We start from the raw sequence: 24,078 nt of genomic DNA on the forward strand, positions 1-24,078 counted from the left end.
CTTAAAGATGGCATGGATCCAAAGAGTGAGCAGTAGCAACGTTTACTGTGAAGAGCAAAAGGACAAAGCTTCCACAACCCAGAAGGGGACCCCAGCAGGGTTGCTGGTTGGGGTGGCCAGCTTTTACTTCCTTTTGGCCCCTCCCATGTTCTGTTTCCATCCTATCAGAGTGCCCTTTTTTCAATCCTCCCTGTGATTGGCTACTTTTAGAATCCTGCTGATTGGTGCATTTTACAGAGTGCTGATTGGTGCGTTTTACAATCCCCTTGTAAGACAGAAAAGTTCCTGATTGGTGTGTTTTACAATCCTCTTGTAAGACAGAAAAGTTCCCCAAGTCCCCACTGGACCCAGGAAGTCCACCTGGCCTCACCTTTCAACTCCATAATGGCATGAAAATACATATGTTGTACAAAACATACATACACAAAGTATACATGCATCTCCCCAAATATACACATACCACAGAAACATACACACAGGAACTCAGCTACCTGTCAAAAGTCTGCATGGTGATTGCCTCTGCAGTGAGTAGTTAGAAAAGTGAATTTGTTTTTCAATAAATTGGAGTCCTTAAAAATCGTTGTAAGATAGAAAATTTTTAAAAGTATATAAAATAAAATATGTATGTCCTTTGGTCTAGCATTTACACATGTAGGAATTTATCCTAGTGGAGTAATCAATGATATATGCAAAGATTTGGACAAGCATATTAAGCACAGAATTATGTATGCATATGTGTGTGTATATATATATATATCTCATACATATAATAATGTAAAAGTGAAAATAACTCAGATGTTCAAAATTGAGGATTAGTTAGACTATGATCTGTCCATATGTGACATACAAGTTAGCTGCCCCTTATTCTCTCGAGCTTCAACCTCCTATAAACAGTGTCCCTTGTATATCAGTATTGGTACAGATAATCGAACTTATTGAGGTTTTACATGGGGCAATAAAGGCAAGAGTTTATGAATACTCCATACTACACTAGGTAGCACCCCCTATTAAAGACAAACTCTTCTCTCTCATTTCCCTTCCTTTCCGGAACCACTTGGTTGAATCTCTACAAGTCTCTATTGCAACTGCCTCAACATGGCACCCTCCCTGCATCTCCATCTTCCCTGTCCTGAGAGCAATGGCCTGCTGCCCCCACACTCACATCCTCATTCATTCCAGAAGTGAGCACCACAGAAGTGCCTACAGTTACCCCAACCACCTTCTTAGAAGATAAGTTAGTGTTTGTTTTGACTTTTTAAAATTTTTACTTCCTCTTTTCCTTCACAATCTCATCCCATCCCAAGAGGTTTATCAAGAAGTTCTCTAAAGATATGTGTCTCCTTATGGAATTTAACAGAAATCAGGGATTTGTATTCTAGCCATCAAGGGAATAACATTTTTCCAGGTCTTTAGACAAATAATGGAATACCTTGCAGTAATTAGATACACTATTGTAGAAAAGTATTGATGAAATGGAACGATGTTTGAGATATCATATTGAGTAGAAAAGGCAAGATACATTAAGTAGGAAATGTATCTTACAAAATAATTTGTCAGACACACTCCTATATTTGTATGTTATATAAATGCGTATGTGAAGAAAGGCTAGAGGATGAGACCACAGTCTTCGGTGAAGTTTAAGAGATGAGGCTGCAGCATGCTCAGAAAGGCCTGGGTTATAGTTCTTCCAGTAATTAAGGATGTGATCTTGGGTAAATTGTCCATCCTCTCTAAACTGCACCACCTTTTGTCTGTAAAACAGGAAGGATGGTATTTACCCCCAGGGTCATCAAAGGATTTGGTTGGAGAAAAATAAATAAATGGGCTGAGCCCAGACCTGGCACAGTGAGAGCACAGTGGTTGACTATTGTGCTGGCCTGTTGTTCCTGTGTTATTGACATGCTGCTGGTGGTGGTCCAGAAGCTATTACCTTAATTGGTTATGTGGATTTCCCCTCATACTGAGCAGCTGTGTGTGGTGTTGTAAAACATAGCCATACACAGTAACTGACAAGGGCAAATGTGATGGAAAAATGCAAGGAAGTGCAGATAAATAGCTAATGGGCTGTAGAAGGAAGCTAGTCCTTGGAGGGCTTGATCAAGGAAGGTCCTTTTGCATGTCACCTTTGAAGAAGAGGGGACATAGAAGAGGTATAGTGCATCCCGGAGTGTACCTGGAAGGGAACATGAAAAGAGGACATTTTTCTCTGGGACATGGGGACTCCACTTGCATGAACTCTGGAATTGGGGCAAAGAACCATCATGAGAACAAGGGCTTCCTTGAACCTCCCAGGCTCATTGGCTGATCTAAACCCTGTGTCCCCTCTTTCCTTCACTCTCCTCTGTTTTCTATACCTGTATTATTGGACTGGACTGGAAGCCACCTGATCTATCACAAGTACCTTGAAATGTGTTGAATAGGTGTGGCACAGTCCTTAGCAGAGTGGCACTACCCCCACAGGAATTTGTTTATACCGTTGGCATGGAAAATAGCAGGAAATGAGTGATCACTGATAACTGAGGATGCTATTTATTATTGGCCAAAGGAATACTTGTGTTGTATTTGCATAACCACTCACAAACTGTTGATTACAAATGAGTACCAGACCTAGCTCCTTCAAGTAAAGGATCCTGAGAACTGAAGGCAAACAGAGCTCCAGGAGTCCAAGACAGAGCCACAGACCACGAGGATCCCTGGCCCAGGTAGGTGGTCCTCCTGCACTGGCTTTCAAGGCCAACAGGATGGATGGGGAAGTAGAGTAGCATCTGGCCATCTAGACCCTTGCTTTTTATCCCCACTGGAAGCACATCTGAATTTCTAAATATGATCTCTGAGACCTGCCCAGAACACCTTGCTCTCAGCCCCAGTAGCAGCCTGCTCTCTCCCAGGAGGGCTTCCACTAACAAGTAGGGCATTGCTGGAGGGCCAGGCAGACACTAGCTTAGGAAATCCACCAACCCTGGAAATGCTAGTCCCTTCTCTGAAGGCTCAGAAGACTGACTTTAGAGTCTAGAAAATATTGGTCCTTGGGAACAGATTTTGAGTGCAAAGAGATGGACTTCAGATGGCCAGATGCACTGCTTCTTTAGGGAATTCTGTGAAAGCTCCCTGCATTTATCTTAATACAGGCAGCAGATTTCATGAGTACCCCCGAGGGATGGCCCCAGGTCCTCCAGCCTGTGAGCATCCTTCTGTCCTTCAGCAGCACCACAGTATCTTTATATGTCTTTGGATACCTACGTTTCTGCCAGACATCTCTTGCTCTGATGTTCTGGCTGCCAAATTCTCTGTCAAGCGCCTCCAATTTTTTGTGTCCTTTGATTTACCCCAACATGACAAAGGCAGTTGTGCTTCATGTATTCAGGGATACTGCCAAACCACAAACAGGTTAAAATCAAATAGCAGATATCCCTGTTCCTAAAGACCCATCAGCTCTACCCACCTGCTCCTGCTCACCGTCCTTATTGTTGAGTCCTGAAGCCCTTCCTTGTCATTTTTATTTTTTGCATGAACAATTTAGTTCCCTTTGTCTCACTCCTAAACCTTTCTCAAAGGATTGGATTTGTACACAAACTGCCTATCTCTGCAATCTTAGAAGTGATATGATTCTGAACAAATCACTTAACTTTTGATTTTTTATCGGTAAGATGGGAATACCAATTTTTGCTCCACTTCTGTCCTATGTTGGCCTGGGCTGATGTTGAAAGCTCTCGGTCAACTGAGATAGGGTGTGCAGAATTTATATATATAAATATATCTCCTCCAACCCCTCCCAATGAAGCAAGTCACGTGAGTCAATCCTACCCTAAGATATTAGGGATTGAGCCTCCTGGGACATTTGGTGGCTTAGGTTTTCATGAAAAGAGGTTGCAGAGCAACTGCTTTTTGTTAGGCAAAGATTAGGCTACTGCAGAGACTCAGCAAACTTCTATAGAAGGTGTCAGATGGTAAGTATTTTAGGCTTTGCTTGCCAGATGATCTCTCAACTAGTTAACCATGCTATTGTAGCCTCGAAGCAGCCAGAGACAATATGTAAACAAGAGCATGGCTGTGTTTCAATAAAACTTTATTTAAAAAAACAGTCAGGGACCGGATTTGGCCAAAGGCCATAGTGTGCCAGCCCCAAGACTAGAGCAATGCACTTTTAACTTTTTTATTTTATTTTTGTAAAATGCCAAGATCCACAAAAATGCTATTGCACCCCGTGTGTTAGCACTGTGACTCAAGGTTTGGGAAATTCTGCTTTGAAGGCGTGATAGACAGGAGAGCATGGTCTGGCCCCTTGGTGCCTTTCTGGTTGCAGCGAGCATTTCAAACTACAGAGCAAGGCCAGTGGTCTGTTCAGCACTAGAGACATGCAGCAAGGTGTCCTGGGGTGAGAAGATGCCATAACTGGTCCCCTTTCTATCTCCTTAGGTCTTGGACTTCATTCCATTTTCTGTTGAGTAATAAACTCAACGTTGAAAATGTCCTTTGTGGGGGAGAACTCAGGAGTGAAAATGGGCTCTGAGGACTGGGAAAAAGATGAACCCCAGTGCTGCTTAGAAGGTAAGGTTCTTGTAGAAATCTACCTCAGGGCCAAAGTGTAATTCCTAGAGCAGAACTTTGCTAGGTGCTGTGCACAGACCCAGTTGTTTCCTGCTGACTTGCACAGTAAGTGAGCTTTCAAATTTCCCTGGACAAATAACTAGACAAGAGAAATTCTGGAAGGGAAAAGGAAGCTTTGCTTCAGTGTCCAGGCACATCAGGTAGTAGATAAAAGGATCGTCCTCACCTACAGATTTGGGGCTTTAGCATCCTGTTTGCCAACTGGATGGTTGCATATGCTTCAAAATGCACCTCTTCCCTCCCAACATTCCCAAGTGGAAGAGAAGCCTCCGATGAGAAGCAGCTCTCTAAGGCTGGGCTGAACAAATGACCCAGGCACAGGGCATCTGAGTATTCCATGAGGAACACATTTGGGTGTTGCCCATGGGGGACAATAGGAGGAGGCTTTTGACCCAAATGATTGTCTACTGAGGTGTGACGGGAGAGGCCTGTGACATGCCAGAGGCCAAACCCGTGATCCAGTTCATCTCTATTCTATGTTTCTGAAGAGGGAAGCTATGATTTAATGTCATTACTATCATGCTGCTCTAGTATTTCTCAGCACATACACAGAAGAGGGAATTAAATGGTCTTTGATACCCCTAAATCCTTGGAAAATCCGAATTGCATATGCTAACCTCACTGCGTCTGACTGCAGACCCGGCTGGAAGCCCCCTGGAACCAGGCCCAAGCCTCCCCACCATGAATTTTGTTCACACAAGTAAGGCCTCGGGGTGAGGTGATGGGGGTGGCTGAGGTGCGAGGGTGGGGATGGGGGATGGAGCCATTGGGTCCTCTTACAGGGTGGGAGAATTGTAGAATGGGGACACCTAAGGGTGCTGGATGGGGCTGAAGTCTTTCCTTTGTGGAAGCAAATCCCATTAGGAGATAACTCTGGGAAAGATGAGCCCGGGGAGGGGCAGGTGATGCTCACCTGCTAAGAGGCACAGGGCAAGGAAGAGTTTGTGCCTGGGAACCTTCCAGGTGCCTCTTCTGACCATAGCCAAGAGACTGGAGACACAGACCTCCTCCCAGCACTGAGGACAAACAGCCATGGGGCCAGTGGGGGTGCAGGGACACCCACACCACTAAGGGCTCAGGGCGGCGCCTTCAGAGCCTGAACCTTCCTCTCATGCTGCCATTTGAACACCACAACACCCTAATAGGAAACTGTTAACATTGCCACTGTTCAGGTGTGGAAACCGAGACAGACAGTGGAGATTCCCTGCCCTAGGTGACACAGGTAATAAGTGACAGATGTGGAAATTTAAAGGTACTATAACGTCTGTCTGCCTGACTCAGGCTTAAGGCTCCCATCACCTCCTCTTCTCAGGACAGAGTCAGGAGGCCTCAGCCTGAGCCCCAGCTCTAGTGCAGGTTCATGTGGGAATACTGAGCCTCACTAGTACAATGGCAGAGAGGACCAAATGGGACCAGGTGTGTAAGGGTGCCTGGCACAGTTGGGGGAGGCTGCTGTCACTTCTCCACCGCTGCTGCTGCAGTTACCTTTGATGTTTTAGTTTTGTTGTAGTTACACCATTGCTGGCTTTGGATCTGCACTGTGTCCACTCCAGGTGGAACCACGCACACAAGCCTCTCTGTCGGGCCTGTCCTGACTTCTCCTTGTCAGGGCTGGGATCTCCTTCAAATCTGGCGGAAGTGGTTCTCCAAGTCTGGTCCTCAAACGTCAGCAGCATCAGCGCCTAGAAGTGTTAGGAATACACATTCCCAGGCCCCACCACAGACCTCCTGCCTCAGAAACTCAGGGCGCTGAGGCTCTAGGGGCTGCTTTAACAAGACTTCCAGGTTATCGTGACGCACCTTGAAAGTCTGAGAGCTACTGCCCTACAGAAAGTTACTAGTGCCCTAAAGCTGGCGCTGGCACTGATGTTACTGCTGCTGTTGGAGTACAACTTCCCTATAGAAAACAACTGCCAGCACCTTAAGACCACTCACACCTTCAGAGTGGCCTTGAGAAAGATTTGGGGTCAAGGATCATGAGCGAGAACACCACTTAAGAGGATAGTGAACTAGTCTGCATGTGAGACGCTGAGATCCTATGTCAGGCTGTGATAGGAGGGAAACAGAAACCAAAGGAAAGAACAGCTTTAAGAAGCGCTTAAGAGGTACAAAGTAAAATGATGGTGCTAGAAAAGTAGCTTCTTAAAAAGAGCATTTTCCAGTCTCACCCTGGACTAACTGAATGAGAATCTCAGGAGTGTGAGGCCCAGGTATCCATGGTCTTAAAATGCCACCCACCAGGTGATTCCCAGTGTGCACCAGGGGTGAGAGTCACAGCCTTAGGCCATGCCACTCAAAGGGTGTCTTCAGACCAGCAGCACCCACAGCTCTGGGAGTGCATCAGAAAGACAGAGGCTTGGCACCACCCACACCTACTGAACCATAGTTTGCAGGTGATTTCTTGCACATTAAAGTGTGGGAAATGGAAAAGCTTAGAGTTCAGCTAGCTCGGTGACTCTCAGTCAACCTGCACCTGCTCCATGAACTCAGACTGCCTGGGATGGGCCCAGAAAAGCTCCTGAGGAGATTCTGATGTAAGGCAGGGCTGATAACCATGGATCTCATCTGACCCCATATCACTGGGGAGTTACTTAGGATCTTGCCTGGGGCCAGTCATCTCTTCCATAGACACTGAGAGTGTCCACGATGCTTGGGGCACTACAGGGTGGGAGGTGGAGGATCACGGGTGAGTCAGATAGGAAGCCTGCTCCTGGGGAGCTTACAGTGCTATAGGGCAGCGAGCCAAGGATGCCAATACCTGTGTGCAGGTACCACTGACGAGTGCAGAGCGCTGCAGCACCAGAGAGGAAGCTACCCTGTGCAGAGGGGGCTGAGGAGGGCTGCAGGGAGATGACAGGAAAGCCGGTGTTACAGGAGGAGTCCTCCCCACTCTTTGGGCATGAGGAGACCAGGAGGACATTCTACAGTGAGAAACCCAGGCAGAGGCCATGTGCTTATGGCATGGGAAAAGAATGACACCTTAGACTTATTCTCTACATTAGAATTGCCTACCACAGATACCCATATTATAGCTTCACATAGTGTGGTGGTTACTGTGTTTTCATATTGTCACATTTGCCATTTTCCAGCCACCCACCCATTCTTGACAGTCACTGGCCCAGCCTGGGGGCCCCTGTTCTTTATCAAACAAGTGCCTGAGCTCTTTGCAGAGGTGAGGGTCACCTGTCCAATCAGAGGCCAGGAGGGAACGTTCCCTTTTAAGACCCTACTCTAGGCAGGCCTGGCCCAAATGAGTTGCTAGGAGCCCACGCCCTAAGAACCCTCTGAGCACTGTTGTGGCTGGTCCTGCTGCTAGAAGTTGTTCCTCCAGGGCCAGGTGCAAGATTTGTGGCTTTTCAAAGGAGCCACTAAAGCTCCAGCTCAGCCTTGCACCGTGCTGGGCTCCTGGGGGCTTCCTGCCTCCAACCCTCCCAACTCTTCCATCACCGCTCCCTTAGCCTGGCCAGTGCAGGGATCTGTTCCACTCTAGGCACTGCTGAGGGAATGATGCCTCCAGTCAGAGGGTGCAAAAAAGAGAGTTAAGAAAAACAATGATTATAAAAAGTCCTTTTTATACGCCAGACATTTTCTTTGCTCAGGCTAAGTGCTACTTATTTGAGTAAGCATTTTAGTTCTCATAACTCCTCTCTCAAGTAGGTGCTGCTATTACTTTCATTTCACAGATGAGGACATTGAGGTTTGGAGAGACTTAGTAACTTGTCCTCTGTCCTACAGCAGAGCTGGGATTTGAATCTATCTGTCCAAATCTGGAACCCATTTGCTTGCACAGAAAGCTTAATTGCTTGTCCCAGCAAGATAGAAAGCCTGGGAGTGGAAGAAATATTCAGTGGCTGTGATGTCTGAGCCCACAGGCAGGGTGGAGAGCTAGGGCTGGGGCCCTTGGACGTGGGGAAGAAAGGGCTGAGTCTTCCATTTTCAATGTGAAGTGTTGATATCTGGTGATATTGATCTAGGTCCAAAGGTGAAGAACTTAAACCCGAAGAAATTCAGCATTCATGACCAGGATCACAAAGTACTGGTCCTGGACTCTGGGAATCTCATAGCAGTTCCAGATAAAAACTACATACGCCCAGGTGACTCTCAGTTTTGGCTGTGTTTTCTGCCTCCACCTAGCAGGGGTAAGGCCTCCTGCTAGGTGGGCTCAACTCCATGCTATACCATGCCCCATCTCCAGCAGGTGGTGGAAGCGAGGAGGAGAGGCCCCAGGGACTAGGGCATCAGATGAAGGGTCTCTAGCAATGACCAGATCTGAAAGTAGTCTTTCTGGAAGGGCTGGAGAAAAAGAAGGAGGCAGACACTTAGACTGGAAGAAGAGGAGGCTTAAACCAGTGTGATGGAGGGAGAAGTGGACCACAGAGTCAAGGGAGAGGGACTGTGCATCAGGCCTGAAACCCCAGCAGACAGGAGAGACCTTTCCCTGCTCTCAGAACCCACACATGTTCTGACTGTCTTTTTCCAGAGATCTTCTTTGCATTAGCCTCATCCTTGAGCTCAGCCTCTGCGGAGAAAGGAAGTCCGATTCTCCTGGGGGTCTCTAAAGGGGAGTTTTGTCTCTACTGTGACAAGGATAAAGGACAAAGTCATCCATCCCTTCAGCTGAAGGTGAGAGTTCTAGCTCAGTTTCCTGGGCCTTTGGCTACCCCAAAGTAAAAGGCCAAGATCCTCAATGCCTCTCGCTTTCCTGCAAATTCTTATCTTGGCCAATATAACAGGGACATCCACCTTTCTGGAAGCACCAGGCAGAAGAGCCCCATAACTTCTTCTCTGGTTCCTTGCCCCTTCTAGGGAAGGAGGAGAGACTCCTCACAGCGGGGAGACAGCAAGGAGCTGAGCACCTGTTCTCCTCTCCTGGGCTCACTGGTCCTGGCCCTGGGCGGGTGGCGGTCCCCTCCTGCTGTGGCCCTCCATGTGGCAAGCAACACAATTGGGCCAGGACCCTGGCGTGCTGCTGTAGGGTAGGAGGGTGTGAGGGAGCACTCGGAGGGCAGTGTGTCTGCCCTGCAAATTTAGTCCTGGATGGAGCACCTTTCACTTGAGGGGAGAAATCTTAGGAAGCTGAATTAGATACAGATCTAAGCCATATTCTCTAATTTTAAAAACTATAGAGCTGAGATTTTGGTATCCATCTGACTCTTACGTCTCTCTCTCTCTCTCTCTCTCAGTTTATTTTTAATCTGGGGGACAAGAAGGCCTGGAAAAGAGGGCAGGATTGCTTATCATCCCTTAAATACCAGTACCAAGGCTGACACGTCATCTTTCCCAAGGACCATCTGCCTTCTCTCTTTTCCTCCTCTCCTGTGTAAAGGCCTGGAGGATGAGCACATGTGCTGTGTTTTCCTCCCTCTCAAAGCCTGTGCTATCTAATTAATCCCTTTTACCTCACAGAAGGAGAAACTGATGAAGCTGGCTGCCCAAAAGGAATCAGCACGCCGGCCCTTCATCTTTTATAGGGCTCAGGTGGGCTCCTGGAACATGCTGGAGTCGGCGGCTCACCCCGGATGGTTCATCTGCACCTCCTGCAATTGTAATGAGCCTGTTGGGGTGACAGATAAATTTGAGAACAGGAAACACATTGAATTTTCATTTCAACCAGTTTGCAAAGCTGAAATGAGCCCCAGTGAGGTCAGCGATTAGGAAACTGCCCCATTGAACGCCTTCCTCGCTAATTTGAACTAATTGTATAAAAACACCAAACCTGCTCACTAAACTTTCTGTCATTGGGTTTCATTTCTCATTCATGCTTTAAGGATTTGTGTTTTTAGGATATAGCAAGAAGCTTGTTTAATTACAAAGTTCTGGGTTGGAAAGAGACCGGCTTCTGCTTGTGTACTGCTACCCTGAACCATCAGACATGCATGTGTGTGTCATATGCTATGATGTGGCCAGTCTGAGTGCAATACTTGCAGTGGGAAGGAGCAGCTGGGTGCATGCTGTGCTCTAGAATTAGTCTTTCCTACTGGGGTTTGGTAGATTCTGAGGGCATTGATCCTGGGGCAGAAGTGGCTGAGTCTGTGTCTAGGGTACAGTGTGCAAGAAAGAAATGTAACAGCAAGTCACAATCCAGCCAAGTGATAGTGGAAAAGGGGTAGTTAGGTCCCAGATAAGGAGCAGGGTGACTTGACCTGTGGGAAAGGCACAGAGACAAGGAATCTGGGTCAGATGACAGCCAGGAGACCAGGTGAGGGAGGAGCCAGGTACTGTCTGGGAGGCTTGTCAACAAGGGCATGGTCCTATCACTAAGCAGGGCTCAGATCCTCATAATGGGGGAGTGGAAGGCTGGCCGAACAGAAATCAGGGCCTGGAAACAGAGTGAGGGGGTGGAGACAGGAGACTGAGGCTTGGAAATTAGTTTATTAGTTTTAGCTCTTCAGTTACAAGCAATAATAATAGCTTCTAGCTTATTTAAGCAACAAGTATACTACAAAAGGAGCTTTCTAGAAGGATATTGGGTATATTCATTTCTTACTGCTGCTGTAACAAATTACCACCAACTTAGTGGTTTAAACAATGCAATGTATTATCTTGCAGTTATGGAGGTCAGTCTGGAATGTGTCTCACTGGGCCAAAATCAAAGTATCAGCAGGATAGCATTGCTTTGGGAGGCTCTAGGGGAGAGTCAATTTCCTTGCCTTTTCCAGCTTCCAGAGGCCACCTGCATTCCTTGGCTAGTGGCCCACTCCCATCTTCGCTGCTTGGGTTTTTCTCACACTGCTTTGCTCTGACCCTCCTGCCTTCCTCTTTCACATATAAGAACGCTTGCAATTTACATCGGGCTCACGTCAATATCCAGGATACTCTCCCGTCTCAAAGAGGCTTAACTTTAATCACAGATGCAAAGTCCCTTTTGCTATGTCATGTAACATATACACAGGGTCTGGGGATTAGAATGTGGACATTTTCGGGGTGCCATTATTCTGCCTATCATGTGAAGTAACTTTCAAAATGGAAAGACATGCTGAAGAAAAAGTCAGGGATTTCTGGCAGGCCAGAAATGACAGAAGGCAGAAAACGTTGGTCCCATCACTCAGATGGGTAAGAGCCAATCATGCTTTTTGTCAGTTAGCAAAAGATTGAGATTCCAAGCAAAGCATGCAACTGCCCTAGTTTGGGTCATGTGTCGACTCCTTGGTCAGTGAAGGGCAGCACACCTTGATCAATACTCCCTCCAAGACTGTATCCAACGAGGCCAGTGATGTTCCTCAAAGCAGAGCTAGAGAGCTAATCCCAGGAGAGAGGCGTGTGGGTGGTGGGCAGGAAGACAAAGCTCAGCCGTAAAGGAGTAGTAGGGACAGCACCCCAGGCATGGAGGCTCAAGTGAGATGATACCCATGGGAAAAGCTCTGATAAGGTCAGCTCCTTCTGTTTCTGATCCTGATGGTGATGGTGATCAACACCAGCCCAGTGACAAAAAAGTACATAGTATATTTAGTAGATGTTTCCCACACAGAGAAATGGTAAATATTCAAGGCGAGGAATACTCCAAACATCCTACCTTGATCATTACACATTCCGTGCATGTAATGAGTACTTGCATGTATGCCATAAATATGTGAAATATTATGTATCACTATATAAAAGAAAAAAAAATGTGGCCAGGTGACATCCATATTTTGGAGAGGAAGGCATGTCTTCTTCATAATATCACAAAACTATTTTCACAACAAAGACACAGCTGTTCAAATTAGTCTCTGAGCCGGGGCTGTCTCATGGCAGTGAGGACTCTGGTTCCCTTACAGACTAGCAGAAAGGAGATGGGGCTTACTGACCATGGCCTTGAGGAGGCCGAACATGCAGGCCAAATGGAGACACAGACAGCCTGGGCTTGGTCCTGCTCCATCCCCTTCCAACCTGATGAGATATAGTGAGTCACTATGACATGGGTCACTCATGCTTCCTGTGAGGCTCCACCAAGACAGCAAGTGCATCAACACCTTACGGAAGCACAAGGCCCTGTTTGTTGTTGACTTCATGAAAGGCATGGTTGTGGTGATCGCATTGAGTAGGCTTTTGGGTGAGAGGTGAAAAACCCCAACTATCATGCATTGCAGCCCTCTGGTGGAAACTGTGCTTCAGGCTCTAAATTTCAGGCTCTAGACTGACTCCGGGATGAGTATTTGGAAGCTGAAGTCAATCTGTGGTCTCTTCTCCTGTAGAGCAGGAGTCAGCACTTTTCATAGAGTGCCAGATTCTATATATCCTGCCACATGCTCTGTTGTTACAGAACAAAGAAGGCCATAGACAGCATGGCTGTGTTGGCAAATACACAAAACAGGCAATAAGCTGTATTTGGCCTTTAGGCTGCAGTTTGCCAACCCCTGCACTAACACAGAGCTTAAAGGTGGTGGTGGTGTGCTGGAGCTAGCTTATATCAGCTTGCAATAGCCAATTGCTAACATCTCTTCCAAACTCTGTGTCTGTGCCTTGATGTTGATAGTTTGAAATTGGCTACCCCATTTAATGCTGCAATCTTTTCTCACCCCAGCACTACTGACTCCCCTTTGCCCTGTCTTATTTTTCTCACTCTAACATGCTGTATAGTTTTCTTCTTACATTTATTGTTTGTGTCTTCCACTAGCATGTATGTCCCACAAGTTCTTTGCTCTGTGATGTATCCCAAGAACCCACTGCAGTGCTTGGCACTTGTAGGAACTCCATAAGATTTTTATAAATGAAGAAAGGAAGAAAAAAGAGAGGGAGGGAGAAAGGAAAGGAAGCCTTCTATTTAAATGATGGCCTTCTCCATATTTCTATAGTAATATGACTTCCCTTGCAAAGGAGATGCATTTTGGAAAATGTGTATAAATAAACTCAGGTGGTTTTGAATTTCATTTTCCTAACTGTAATTGTAATCATTGGTCTTTATGTTTAGTGAAAAAGTTTTGGCCCTTATGCCTCACACCTGAGAATCCCAAAGTATTGGTTTGTTAGAGCTCCCATAGAGAACCATAAACTGGGTGGCTTAAAACAACAGAAATGTATCGTCTCCTGGTTCAGGAGGCCAAAGTCTGAACTCCAGGTGTTGGTTCATTCTGAGAGCTCTGAGAGAGAATCTGTTCCAGGCCTCCCTTCAGTTTGTGGTAGCTCCAGGGTTCCTTGGCTGGTGGCAGCAAAACTCCAGTCTCTGCCCCCATCTTCACATGACTGTCTTCTCTCTGTGTTTCTGTGTCCAGATTGTCCTATAAGGACAGAGTCATACTGAATTAGGGCTCACTCGAATGACTTCATCTTAAGTTGAACTGTATCTGTAAAGACCTTATTTCCAAGTAAGGTCACATTCACAGCTACTGGGGGATAGGACCTCAACATATCTTTTTGGGGGACATAATTCAACTCATAATACCCAACATGATAACTGTTCATCCCATGAAATTTAATGTCTCTCAAAAGGTGATCTCAGGGCATTTAATCTGTGACAGAAACTCCCATAGGAAACATTCCAACCAGAAGCTCCTTTCACAGCTGGTCACTCCTCCTACCCCATCCGAGGTCCTGGGGCAGGGTGAGGCAGGTGGGGACAAGAAGAAGGCTGTCTCGGGTGTAGAAAGAGAAGACCCTTATTCACCCGGCACTCTGTTCATGAATGAGCTATCCAGCATAGGATATAATAAATCGCTTTAGGAGTGGTAGACTCCAAACATTTTTTTGGTCCCAGTTATCCTAATCAATTAAACAAACTCTAGAACACATCTTGAAGTGCAGGCATTGGGACATTATGAAACTTACACAGAATTCAAAAATTTACAAGGGCTAAATAAAACAGGGTCTGACATCTAATATTTTCTTCCCACATTCCCATGCACTGTCTGGCTCAACCATCCCCAACCCTCACTCTCATCCTGGTGGACACATGCCTAGTGATGTGATCAGCTGGTTCACAGGGGGCTGGTGATGGTGGATATACAGCTTTTGCCAATTTCCATGGCATAACTACTCCAAATATGGCCAATTTCAAACTACCAACATGAAGGCACAGACACAGAGTTTGGAAGAGATGTTAGCAATTGGCTATTGCAAGCTGATATAAGCTAGCTCCAGCACAGCACCACCGCTACCTTTAAGCTCCTTGTGTTAGTGCAAGGGTTGGCAAACTGCAGCCTAAAGGCCAAATACAGCTTATTGCCTGTTTTGTGTATTTGCCAACACAGCCATGCTGTCTATGGCCTTCTTTGTTCTGTAACAACAGAGCATGTGGCAGGATATATAGAATCTGGCAGTCTTTAATAAGTGCTGACTCCTGCTCTACAGGAGAACACAGATTGTCTTCAGCTTCCAAACATTCATCTCTGAGTCAGTCTAGAGCCTGAAATTTAGACTGAAGCACAGTTTCCACCAGAGGGCTGCAATGCATGATAGTTGGGGTTTTCACCTCTCACCCAAAAGCCTACTCAATTTTTTACTGCAAAAACATGTTATCATCATTATTTTTTACTTAGCCCACCTTTCCTTGGCAATTTTCCATAGGAAAATGCATTCTAAATTTCAACTAATCAGGGGACTTGGAGCCTCTGGACACCCCCTTGTTCCTTGCCCACAGTCCCTTGCAGAAGGTGCCTTATCAGAGCGGCTCCATGCAGGGGCTCAGGACAGGATCAGATGTCAGTTGCACCAAGGGGGCAGGGACAGATCCTCTCTGCTGACCATGCAGAAGGGACTGTTCAGTGCACCGTCATGGTCCTGGTGATTTCTGGCCCATAAGGGAATTTTCACATGCATCGGGTGATTGTCACATCAGCACAACACTGTGAGGAAGGCAGAGTGAGAATTTGTGTGCCCATTTTATAGGTGAGAAAACAGATGCAGAGACATTAAGTAACTTCACCACAGTCATGCGGGTTTTAAGTGGCAGACTTTCAGGTGTTGTGACTCCTAGTCCAGAGTTCTTTGCACTGCCCCTGAGGTGCTAAAACTCTACTGTGCTTTAAGACTCACTTGGGGAGCTTCCTAAAAAGAGAGATTGCACAACCTGAGATTCTTGTTTAACTGTTTTGGGATGTAGCTCAGGGATCTAGCTGCCTTAAAAAAAAAAACTCCCAAGTAATTCTGATGCAAGCGGTTCTTTCTTGTCCACCTTTGAAGAAACACTGCCTCCTCCCTATACATTTCATTAGAAAATGGTAACATGTTTTTCAGCCTGAGAGCCATTTCTGGGTGACCGGACGTCGGCAGCCCGCTGTACTAGCTTTCAGTCTAGGCTTAAACACACATGATAGGAGATGTCCTACTCCAGATGATATGAGTCTGAACCATGGAAAAATTCCATTGTGTGGCACATCTGGTGGGTGTGCACTGTCCCCAGCAGTGAGGCACCCAGTGAAGACAGCAGCTGGGAGAGGCTTAGTTACATGCAGTGGGACAGTGTGGGCTAGACTGCTGAGCCCTCTGCAGTTTACTCTGTGTCAGGCAATGAGGGTGAAAGGCTGATCAGACCCACGTGCAGACCATACCCTCCAGGGAGACAGATATCAGTCAGGACAACCCCAAGTGTAGCTGGAGAAGCAGTGCCCAGGTATGACCGGATGTGTATCCAACCAGGAAATCTGCATATAAATATAAGAGGAGAAAATGAACAGATGTTGCTCTTATATGTAGATATTTATGAAGAGCATATAATTTTGTTTTGTGTGTTTTAAGAAGTTTATAAGTATGCCTTAAAAATGTATGGTATATACTGTAGGTATTTTTTCCATTAGATATTTTGTTTTTCATACTTATCCACATTGACATTGTAGCAACAGTATAATATAACAACCTCCTCTACAAAAGCAGAAGGAAGTGAAGCTTTGGAAGGAAGCACCCAGTGAGCTTGCCCCTTTCAGGTGGGTGCAGTGAGCAGGAGTCAGTGAGGTTGAGATCCTTTGAGAGGAGGCAGTCATTAACCAGGAAATCTGCACTGCATCCTGGCCACACCTAACCCTTGGACAATGGTGCTTGGAGCGCCTTCCAGCTCTTAAGGCTTGCGATTTCTTTCTCTCACTCTTCACCCACGATGATTAAATCTTCTCCTACAGAGTTGGACAACAAAGCCTTGAGTTCCTGCCTCCCCTGGTGTGATCACGAGGCATAGACATGGCCAGGAACATGTAGGTGTCTTTGAAAGCTGAACAAGTTAGTAAATTTCAAACCTCATTTCACCCACCAGTAAAATGGGAATAATAATAAACCTATTTTACATAGGGTTGACAAGAGGAGTAAAGAGGGATTCAATGAAAGTTCGTTATTATCATTTGTAGTAGCAGTGTTGATAATATCAACTGAAAGTTCATTATCATTATTAGTAGCAGTATTGATAACCCTCTTTTCTGTGCCTTCTCACTGGTGGGCCCAGGCCATCAGCAATGCCCAGGGTGTCATGGATCTCTGCTGCATCGGGCACCAGCTGTGTCAATGGTGAGAACAGTACAAGGGTGGGCAGGGCAAGGCAGGAAGCACCCAGGAGCAGCAGCTTCATGGGGTGAAGATGTCAGGAGCTTAGGGACAGTCAGAGCGGGTGTGCCTCCTCTTGTGGAGCCTTTCTGCGTGGGTAGGAACTGCTGCAGCTGTGGCCATGGATTCACCTGAATATGGGTGGAATTAGGCATTCAGCTGGGTTAGCTGTGCCTAGAAGGAGGAACTCTAAACTGAGAACTTGTCCCTATTGCCACCTCTGATAGGCAGATGATCCATCCATCAGTGGCTGAGCTGAGGTGTGCATGGGGATGGGTAAGAGCCCACACACAGGGCTGATGACTGAGTCTATTTAGAACAATAGATGTAAAATCTGATAATGTAAAATGTGATAGATTATTTTGTCAATTAGAAATGGTACCATATAATTATATATATACATAAACATGTATACATATACACACATATACATGTGTGTATAAACACACACAGTATTGTCCCCTACTCATTCCATAAACCTGATGCCTTTAGCTGGGATTCCCAGCTTTCACTCTCCTCTCTGTCATCTGCTGTCTATATCCTCCCCATCCTGTAATTCTGGCTTATATGCCACTTCCTCCCTAAAGCCCTCCCTCAATCCCTTGCTGGAAGTGACATTTTCCTCTTTGAGCTGCCCCTGCTTGTGCTTTGGTGAGGTCAGCTGTATTGCAGTACCTTGTATTGTGGTTGTCACATCATCGTATAGAATTAATTTCTGACACATTCCGTATTTTTCAAAGGGCCTAGTGTGGGGCTTTAACAGTAACTACGCCACCACGCCCAGTTAATTTTTTGTATTTTTGGTGGAGACAAGGTTTCACCATGTTGGCCGGGCTGGTTTCGAACTCCTGACTTCAGGTGATCTGTCTGCCTCAGCCTCCTGGAGTGCTAGGATTGCAGGCATGAGCCACTGCACCCAGCCACCTATCAAAATTTTAAGTGCCATTTTTATTTTTTATTTTTTGTAGAAATGGACAAGCTGATCGCAAAATTCACATGGAATTGCAGGAGGTTCCAAATAGCCAAAACAATCTTGAAAAAGAAGAACAAAGTTGGAGGATTTACACTTTCCAGTTTCAAGACTTAGCTCTTAGCTACAAAGCTACAGTAATCAGAACACTATGGTCCTGGCATAAGTGATGCTGGACAGGTGAGCCCCAAAGTGGGACTTAACCTGTGAAGGTTCTTGGCCTTGCCCAGGAAGGAATTCAAGGGCAAGCCCATGGGACAAGAAAACAGCTTTATTGAAGGGGCAGTATTACAGCTCCAGCCCTGTTACAGCTCCAGCCCTGTTACAACTCTGACTACTCCTGCACAGAAGGGCTACCCTGTAGGCAGAGAGTAGCAACTCAGGGCAGTTTTGCAGTCATTTATATCCACTTTTAACACATGCAGATTAAGGGACAATTTATGCAGAAATTTCTACGGAATTGGTAATAACTTTTGGGTCATGGAGTCATCATGGAAGGGGGGCGGGGAACTCCCTGGTGTTGCCATGATGACGGTAAACTGATATGGCGAACTGGTGGGTATGTCACATGAAAAGCTCCTTCCACCCCAGCCCTGTTTCAATTAGTCCTCGGTTTGGTCCAGTGTCCAAGTCCTGCCTCCAGAGTCAAGTCCCACCCCCTACCTCTTAAGGAGAGATGTAAATACATGGAATAGAATTGAGAGTCCAGAAATAATCTCATACATCTATGATCAATTGATTTTCAGCAAAGGTGCCAAGACCATTCAATGAGGGAAAGAATCATATTTTCAACAAATGGTGCTGGATAACCACATGTGAAAGAATGCAACTGGGCCCTTATCTCACACCATATACAGAAATTAACTCAAAATGGCTCAAACACTTACATGTAAGAGCTAAAACTATAATATTCTTAGAAGAAAACAGGGATATATCTTTATGACCTTGGATTTGCTGGCTGATTCTTAGATGACACTGAAAGCACAAGCAACAAAAGAAAAAAAAATAGGTAAATTGGACCTCATCAAAATTTAAAACTTTTAGGCTGGGTGCACACCTGTAATCCCAGCACTTTGGGAGGCTGAGGCAGGAGGATCTCTTGAGCCCAAGAAGCTGAGGCTACAGTGAGCCGAAATTGTGCCACTGCACTCCAGCCTGGGTGACAGAGCAAGACCCTGTCTCGAATAAATAAATAAACAAATATATAATTATAGATCTCTGGATCTTGCCTTCGGAGACTGACTCAACTAACTGGTCTGGGTGGGAGCCCAGCCATTTGTATTTTTTGAAAACTCTCCAAATGATTTTACTGTGCAGCCAAGGTTGAGAATCACTGTATCATAGGGTTGGACTCCTAACTGGAAACAGTTTGCACCATCAGGTGTCGCAGCATTCTGATAATAGTTAAGCTTTCCTCCTAGATTTTCTGATATTAGATGAGTCATGTTTACAAGTTTTTACCAAGAGACAAACTATCTTTCTGCCCTTACTTTCTCTCTTATACTATTCTAATCCCAGAACCCTTTGGAACTTCCACTGAGAGATGAATCTAGAAAGTGACTCTCTTGGCTACAACAGAGAGTAATGTTGGCCTGTTTGTGCCAGATCCAGTTGGTGCTGGTGGTGGGACAGCACCTCCCTGAAATCCCCTCCTCTCCCGTCAGATTCAGTCCCCCATTTGCATCACGTACAATCATCACTATGGGTTTCTATTACCTTGCTAGGGCATTTGGAGGTACCATATATACCAACTATTAGTTTTGAGCCATGGTTCCCAAAGTGTGGACTGTAGGGCACCTCAGCACACTCACGAGGTGTCATGGGATATTTAAATATTCTGAAGAAAACACAGTGACATCTGTCAGGCCCGTGAAAACCGTTGGCATTAAATTGTCTCAACCCAATTGCTTAAGAAGCAGAACTGGCCAGGCACGGTGGCTCACATCTGTAATCCCAGCACTTTGGGAGGCCGAGGCGGGCAGATCACGAGGTCAGGAGTTCGAGACCAGCCTGACCAACATAGTGAAACCCCGTCTCTACTAAAAATATAAAAATTAGCCATGCATGGTGGCATGCACCTGTAACCCCAGCTACTCAGGAGGCTGAGGCAGGAGAATTGCTTGAACCTGGGAAGCGGAGGTTGTAGTGAGCCAAAATCGTGCCACTGCACTCCAGCTTGGGTGATAGTGAGACTACATCTCAAAAAAAAAAAAATGAGAGAGAGAGAGAGAAGCAGAACCATCAGGTGTTTCTTTTGGCTTAAAGTACTCGGTGAAGAAATTCCTGGGACACGAAGGATACCATGAACTGAGAGATTTTGGGAACCTCTGCTTTAGAAGCTGGAGGTAGCATTCCTTGGGCACAGTACTGCCTTGGGATCAGCAAATCCTTTTGATGGTGCATTTAGGTGTGGCAAGACAGCTCTTAGAGTGGGACCGGGATGTGCTTGGAGACAGAGGGAACTAGATTGAGCTGCCCGATAAAGACATGCCAGCCTGGCAGAGTGTAGTGACTCATGTCTGTAATCCTAGTGCTTTGGGAGGCTGAAGTGGGAGGATTGCTTGAGGCCAGGGGTTTGAGATCAGCCTGGGAAACAACAAGACCTCTACAAAAAAAAAAAGAAAAAAAAAAATTAACCACATGTGGTGGCATGCACCTGTAGTCCCAGCTACCTGGCAGGCTGAGGTAGGAGGATCACTTGAGCCCAGGAAGGTAAGGATACATTGAGCCATGACTGTGCCACTGCACTCTAGCCTGGGTGACAGAAAGAGACTCTGTCTCAGAAATAAATTAAATAACTAAATAAATATATAGTGGCCATGACATCCCTAGAAAGACAAGGTCCTGGGAATAGGTAGAAGCCAAGGGAAATGAGAAATGAGAGGGGGCCCTGGAGCTGGAACTGGGGGAGCAGGATGGCCTCTGAGAAGTTCCTGATAGTGGTGTCACTGATGTGTCTGATGTTTAGTTGTAATTATTTGCTGGGCCCCTGTCATCCCTCATATCTGATAGCTCTTTGCTAGTCAAAGTGTGGTCTGGGGATCAGCGGCATCAGCATCACTTGAGAACTTGTTAGAGATGCAGAATCTAGAGCCCTACCCGGGACCCAGAAACAGAGCCTGCATTTTAACAAGCTCCCCAGGTGATTCTCACACACACTCGCATTTGAGAAGCACTGGGCTAGTTGACAGATTCTCAGGCATGGCTGACATTGAAATATCCAGGGAGCAGGCTTGGCATTAGGATGTTTAAAAGTCCTCCAGGTGTTTCTAAAGCCAGGTTTGAGGAATTACTGGGCTGATACAAATGTTTTGTGATGATGCTTTGTGTGTGTGTGTGTGTGTGTGTGTGTGTGTGTGTGTTGGGAGTTCTGGGTCAGTTGGCACCAACACAGGAAACAATTGAAATATGTGAGCCATGACAGAAAGGTCAGGAGATAAAAGAAATTAGTGACATGAGAGGTACTCCTCAGGTGTTAGGAAATAGGGTAGAGCAAACCAGGTTTTCCACCATATGTTGGATAGGGGTTCAAGTAAATTTCTACTTAAAAATTACAAACAGGGGCTGGGCGCGGTGGCTCATGCCTGTAATCCCACACTTTGGGAGGCTGAGGAGGGCGGATCACAAGGTCAAGAGATTGAGACCATCCTGGCCAACACGGTGAAACCGTGTCTCCACTAAAAATACAAAAATTAGCTGGGCATGGTGGTGCGTGCCTTTATTCCCAGCTACTCGGGAGGCTGAGGCAGGAGAATCGCTTGAACCTGGGAGGTGGAGGTTGCAGTGGGCCGAGATCGCACCACTGCAATCCAGAGCGAGACTGTGTCAAAAAAAAAAAAAAAAGAAAATTCCAAACAGGATGACCCTAAGCCTGCAGGACTTGGAGACATCTAGGTGACTGATACTCAGTCACAAAACATAATTGGTCACAGGCCTGATGAAATGCACAGCAGACCTTCAGATGGTATGCACTCAAGTGATATCCACAAGTCCACCTAAAGAAATGCTATATTCAAACATTTGGCATCAATCTCTATCAAACAAAGATAGTCCAAAGCAATGGGTTCCAAAAACACTTTCCTAAGACAAATTCTCTATTTGCTTTTAATATCAGTCATCCCAGCCCTTGGAATAGAGGAGCAAATGATACCAGTGGTACCCTACCACAATGCACCAAGGTATTATACTCTCATGCTCCATTTTCTCCCTCTGTCTACATCACTAATAACTCATTGATTTCTGGTGCAAGCCCTCCTGGGAGAAAAAGTCTACTCTTGTACCTTGGAGCAAGTTGTTCAGAGTAGGTATCGAGGATAAAATTTGGAAAGTTAGAAAAGCTATTAGAAGGAGATCCTAGTAGTTGAAAACACAGCCTGGCCAAGTCAATGATGCTATTTCATCTCCCCAGCCTTGCATGTCCATAGCTAAGGAAGACAATTTAGGCTTGGGCTAGAGGATGGGAAAGGGCAAAATTACTGATGCCACAGCCCAGAGAGGTATTCTAGTAATCTGAGGGTGAGGACCACATACCTGGTTCAGGGACGTACAGTGTTGACAGCTGTGAGTGGATGCCTGGAGTTCTGGCATGTCTTCTAGCACAATGATACCTGAGACTCTTGCATCATTGGGAATAATAAAATGGGAGTGGATAGATATGAAATTATGATGGCAATAAGCAATCAGCTAATAGCTTCATTGATGGGACAGATTAAAGATGGCTGCAGATCCTTTGGTCCAGGGTTGGGATACAGGCAGCATTTGTATTGGAATGCTGATAGTCTGAGGCCATGAAAAGTCCACCTGCAGTAGTGGTAGGAGGAACAAGCCTCACTTTCTTCAATGTGTGTGACTGCTGTCTTGATTCCCTGGGTGGCCAGTTCCATTCGTGTGGTTCTTTGGTCCACTTGACTCTGGGGTGGCTCTGTGATGGCTTGACCAATAGAATGTAGTGGAAATGATGCTGTAATCATTTCCAGCCTCTTCCAGCCTTAAGGAACTGGCAACTTTTATTTCTGTCCCTTGGAATACTTGTTCTTGCAACCCATCCATCATACAGTGAGAAATTCTAAGCTGCCCCCTTAAGAGGCCCACATGGTGATAAATTGGGGTCTTACATACAGCCCTAGCTGTGCTCCTAGCTGACAAACAGTAGCAACTTGTCACCAGGCGAGTGAACCACTTAGTACTGTATACTCCAGCCCCAGTTGAGCAATGTGGAACAGAGTAAACCATCTCAGCTTAGCCCTGCCCAAACTGCAGAATTATGAGCAAAATAATCCACTAGGCTTTGGGCTGATTTGTTCCAGATTACTGGAACAGAATTTGGTACCAGGGGTGAGGTGCTACAGCAATGAAAGCTTAAGACACGTGACTTTGGTTTTGGGTCTGAGTGGCAGGGGAGCTTGGCAGGCCTCAAGGAAACTTTTAGGGAGGGTTGAAGCATAGTGAGGAAAACAGTAGGGGAAGCTAGAGGAAAAAATGATGCTTGGTATGTAGTGGTGGGAAGTTTAGCAAAACTCGCCTGATGTAATGTGGGAAATTGTAAGAACTCAGAACGATTTAAGGGCATGTTTTATAGGTCCTTTAAGAAACTTCTAGCCCGGGCGCAGTGGCTCACGTCTGTAATCCCAGCACTTTGGGAGGCTGAGGTGGGCGGATCACAAGGTCAGGAGATCGAGACAATCCTGGCTAACATTGTGAAACCCCGTCTCTACTAAAACTACAAAAAAAAATTAGCCGGGCATGGTGGCGGGTGCCTGTAGTCCCAGCTACTAGGGAGGCTGAGGCAGAAGAATGGCGTGAACCCGGGATGTGGATCTTGAAGTGAGCCCAGATTGTGCCACTGCACTCCAGCCTGGGCAACAGAGTGAGACTCCGTCTCAAAAAAAAAAAAAAAAAAAAAAAAAAAAAGAAACTTCTAGGGCTGGTCCCATGGAAGCCTCACACATGGTACACAAAGGCTGTCTTGAAAAGAAACGTAAGTGTGTTTTTTGGTTTAATAAAATTGATTATAAATGGATAATGCAAAACATTTTAAAGAATTTTACTAGCTTACA

At 45.9% G+C, this 24,078-nt stretch overlaps 1 protein-coding gene across 5 annotated transcripts, besides 1 other annotated feature; it reads left to right on the forward strand.

Moving 5' to 3' along the window:
* Positions 2,619 to 10,336, forward strand: IL37 (interleukin 37). 5 transcript variants are annotated; one of them, NM_014439.4, is made up of 6 exons: positions 2,619 to 2,702; positions 4,417 to 4,548; positions 5,246 to 5,308; positions 8,583 to 8,702; positions 9,089 to 9,231; positions 10,015 to 10,336. In NM_014439.4, exons 2-6 carry the CDS (start codon positions 4,467 to 4,469, stop codon positions 10,261 to 10,263), a joined length of 657 nt encoding a protein of 218 aa, NP_055254.2. In that variant the 5' UTR covers positions 2,619 to 2,702; positions 4,417 to 4,466; the 3' UTR covers positions 10,264 to 10,336. The 5 variants fall into 5 exon arrangements, with proteins under 5 accessions (NP_055254.2, NP_775296.1, NP_775294.1 ...); NM_173204.2 differs by lacking the exon at positions 8,583 to 8,702; NM_173202.2 differs by lacking the exon at positions 5,246 to 5,308.
* Positions 8,490 to 8,539: an enhancer, noted in NCBI's record as "active region_16408". NCBI's record gives its function as "activates an Ori minimal core promoter by ATAC-STARR-seq in GM12878 lymphoblastoid cells {active_cell/tissue: GM12878}" and the evidence as "EXISTENCE:reporter gene assay evidence [ECO:0000049][PMID:35858748]".

The sequence above is a fragment of the Homo sapiens genome, chromosome 2 (genome assembly GCF_000001405.40).
Source record: "Homo sapiens chromosome 2, GRCh38.p14 Primary Assembly".
In the NCBI taxonomy this organism is placed as follows: Eukaryota; Metazoa; Chordata; class Mammalia; order Primates; family Hominidae; genus Homo; species Homo sapiens.

What these genes read in the sequence shown, in the direction of transcription:
- IL37 (NM_014439.4), top strand. Translation starts at nt 4,467, where the DNA reads ATGTCCTTTGTGGGGGAGAACTCAGGAGTGAAAATGGGCTCTGAGGAC. An exon ending in ACCCCAGTGCTGCTTAGAAG is followed by an intron (nt 4,549 to 5,245) that starts GTAAGGTTCTTG and finishes GTCTGACTGCAG; the next exon opens with ACCCGGCTGGAAGCCCCCTG. An exon ending in ATCCATCCCTTCAGCTGAAG is followed by an intron (nt 9,232 to 10,014) that starts GTGAGAGTTCTA and finishes TTTACCTCACAG; the next exon opens with AAGGAGAAACTGATGAAGCT.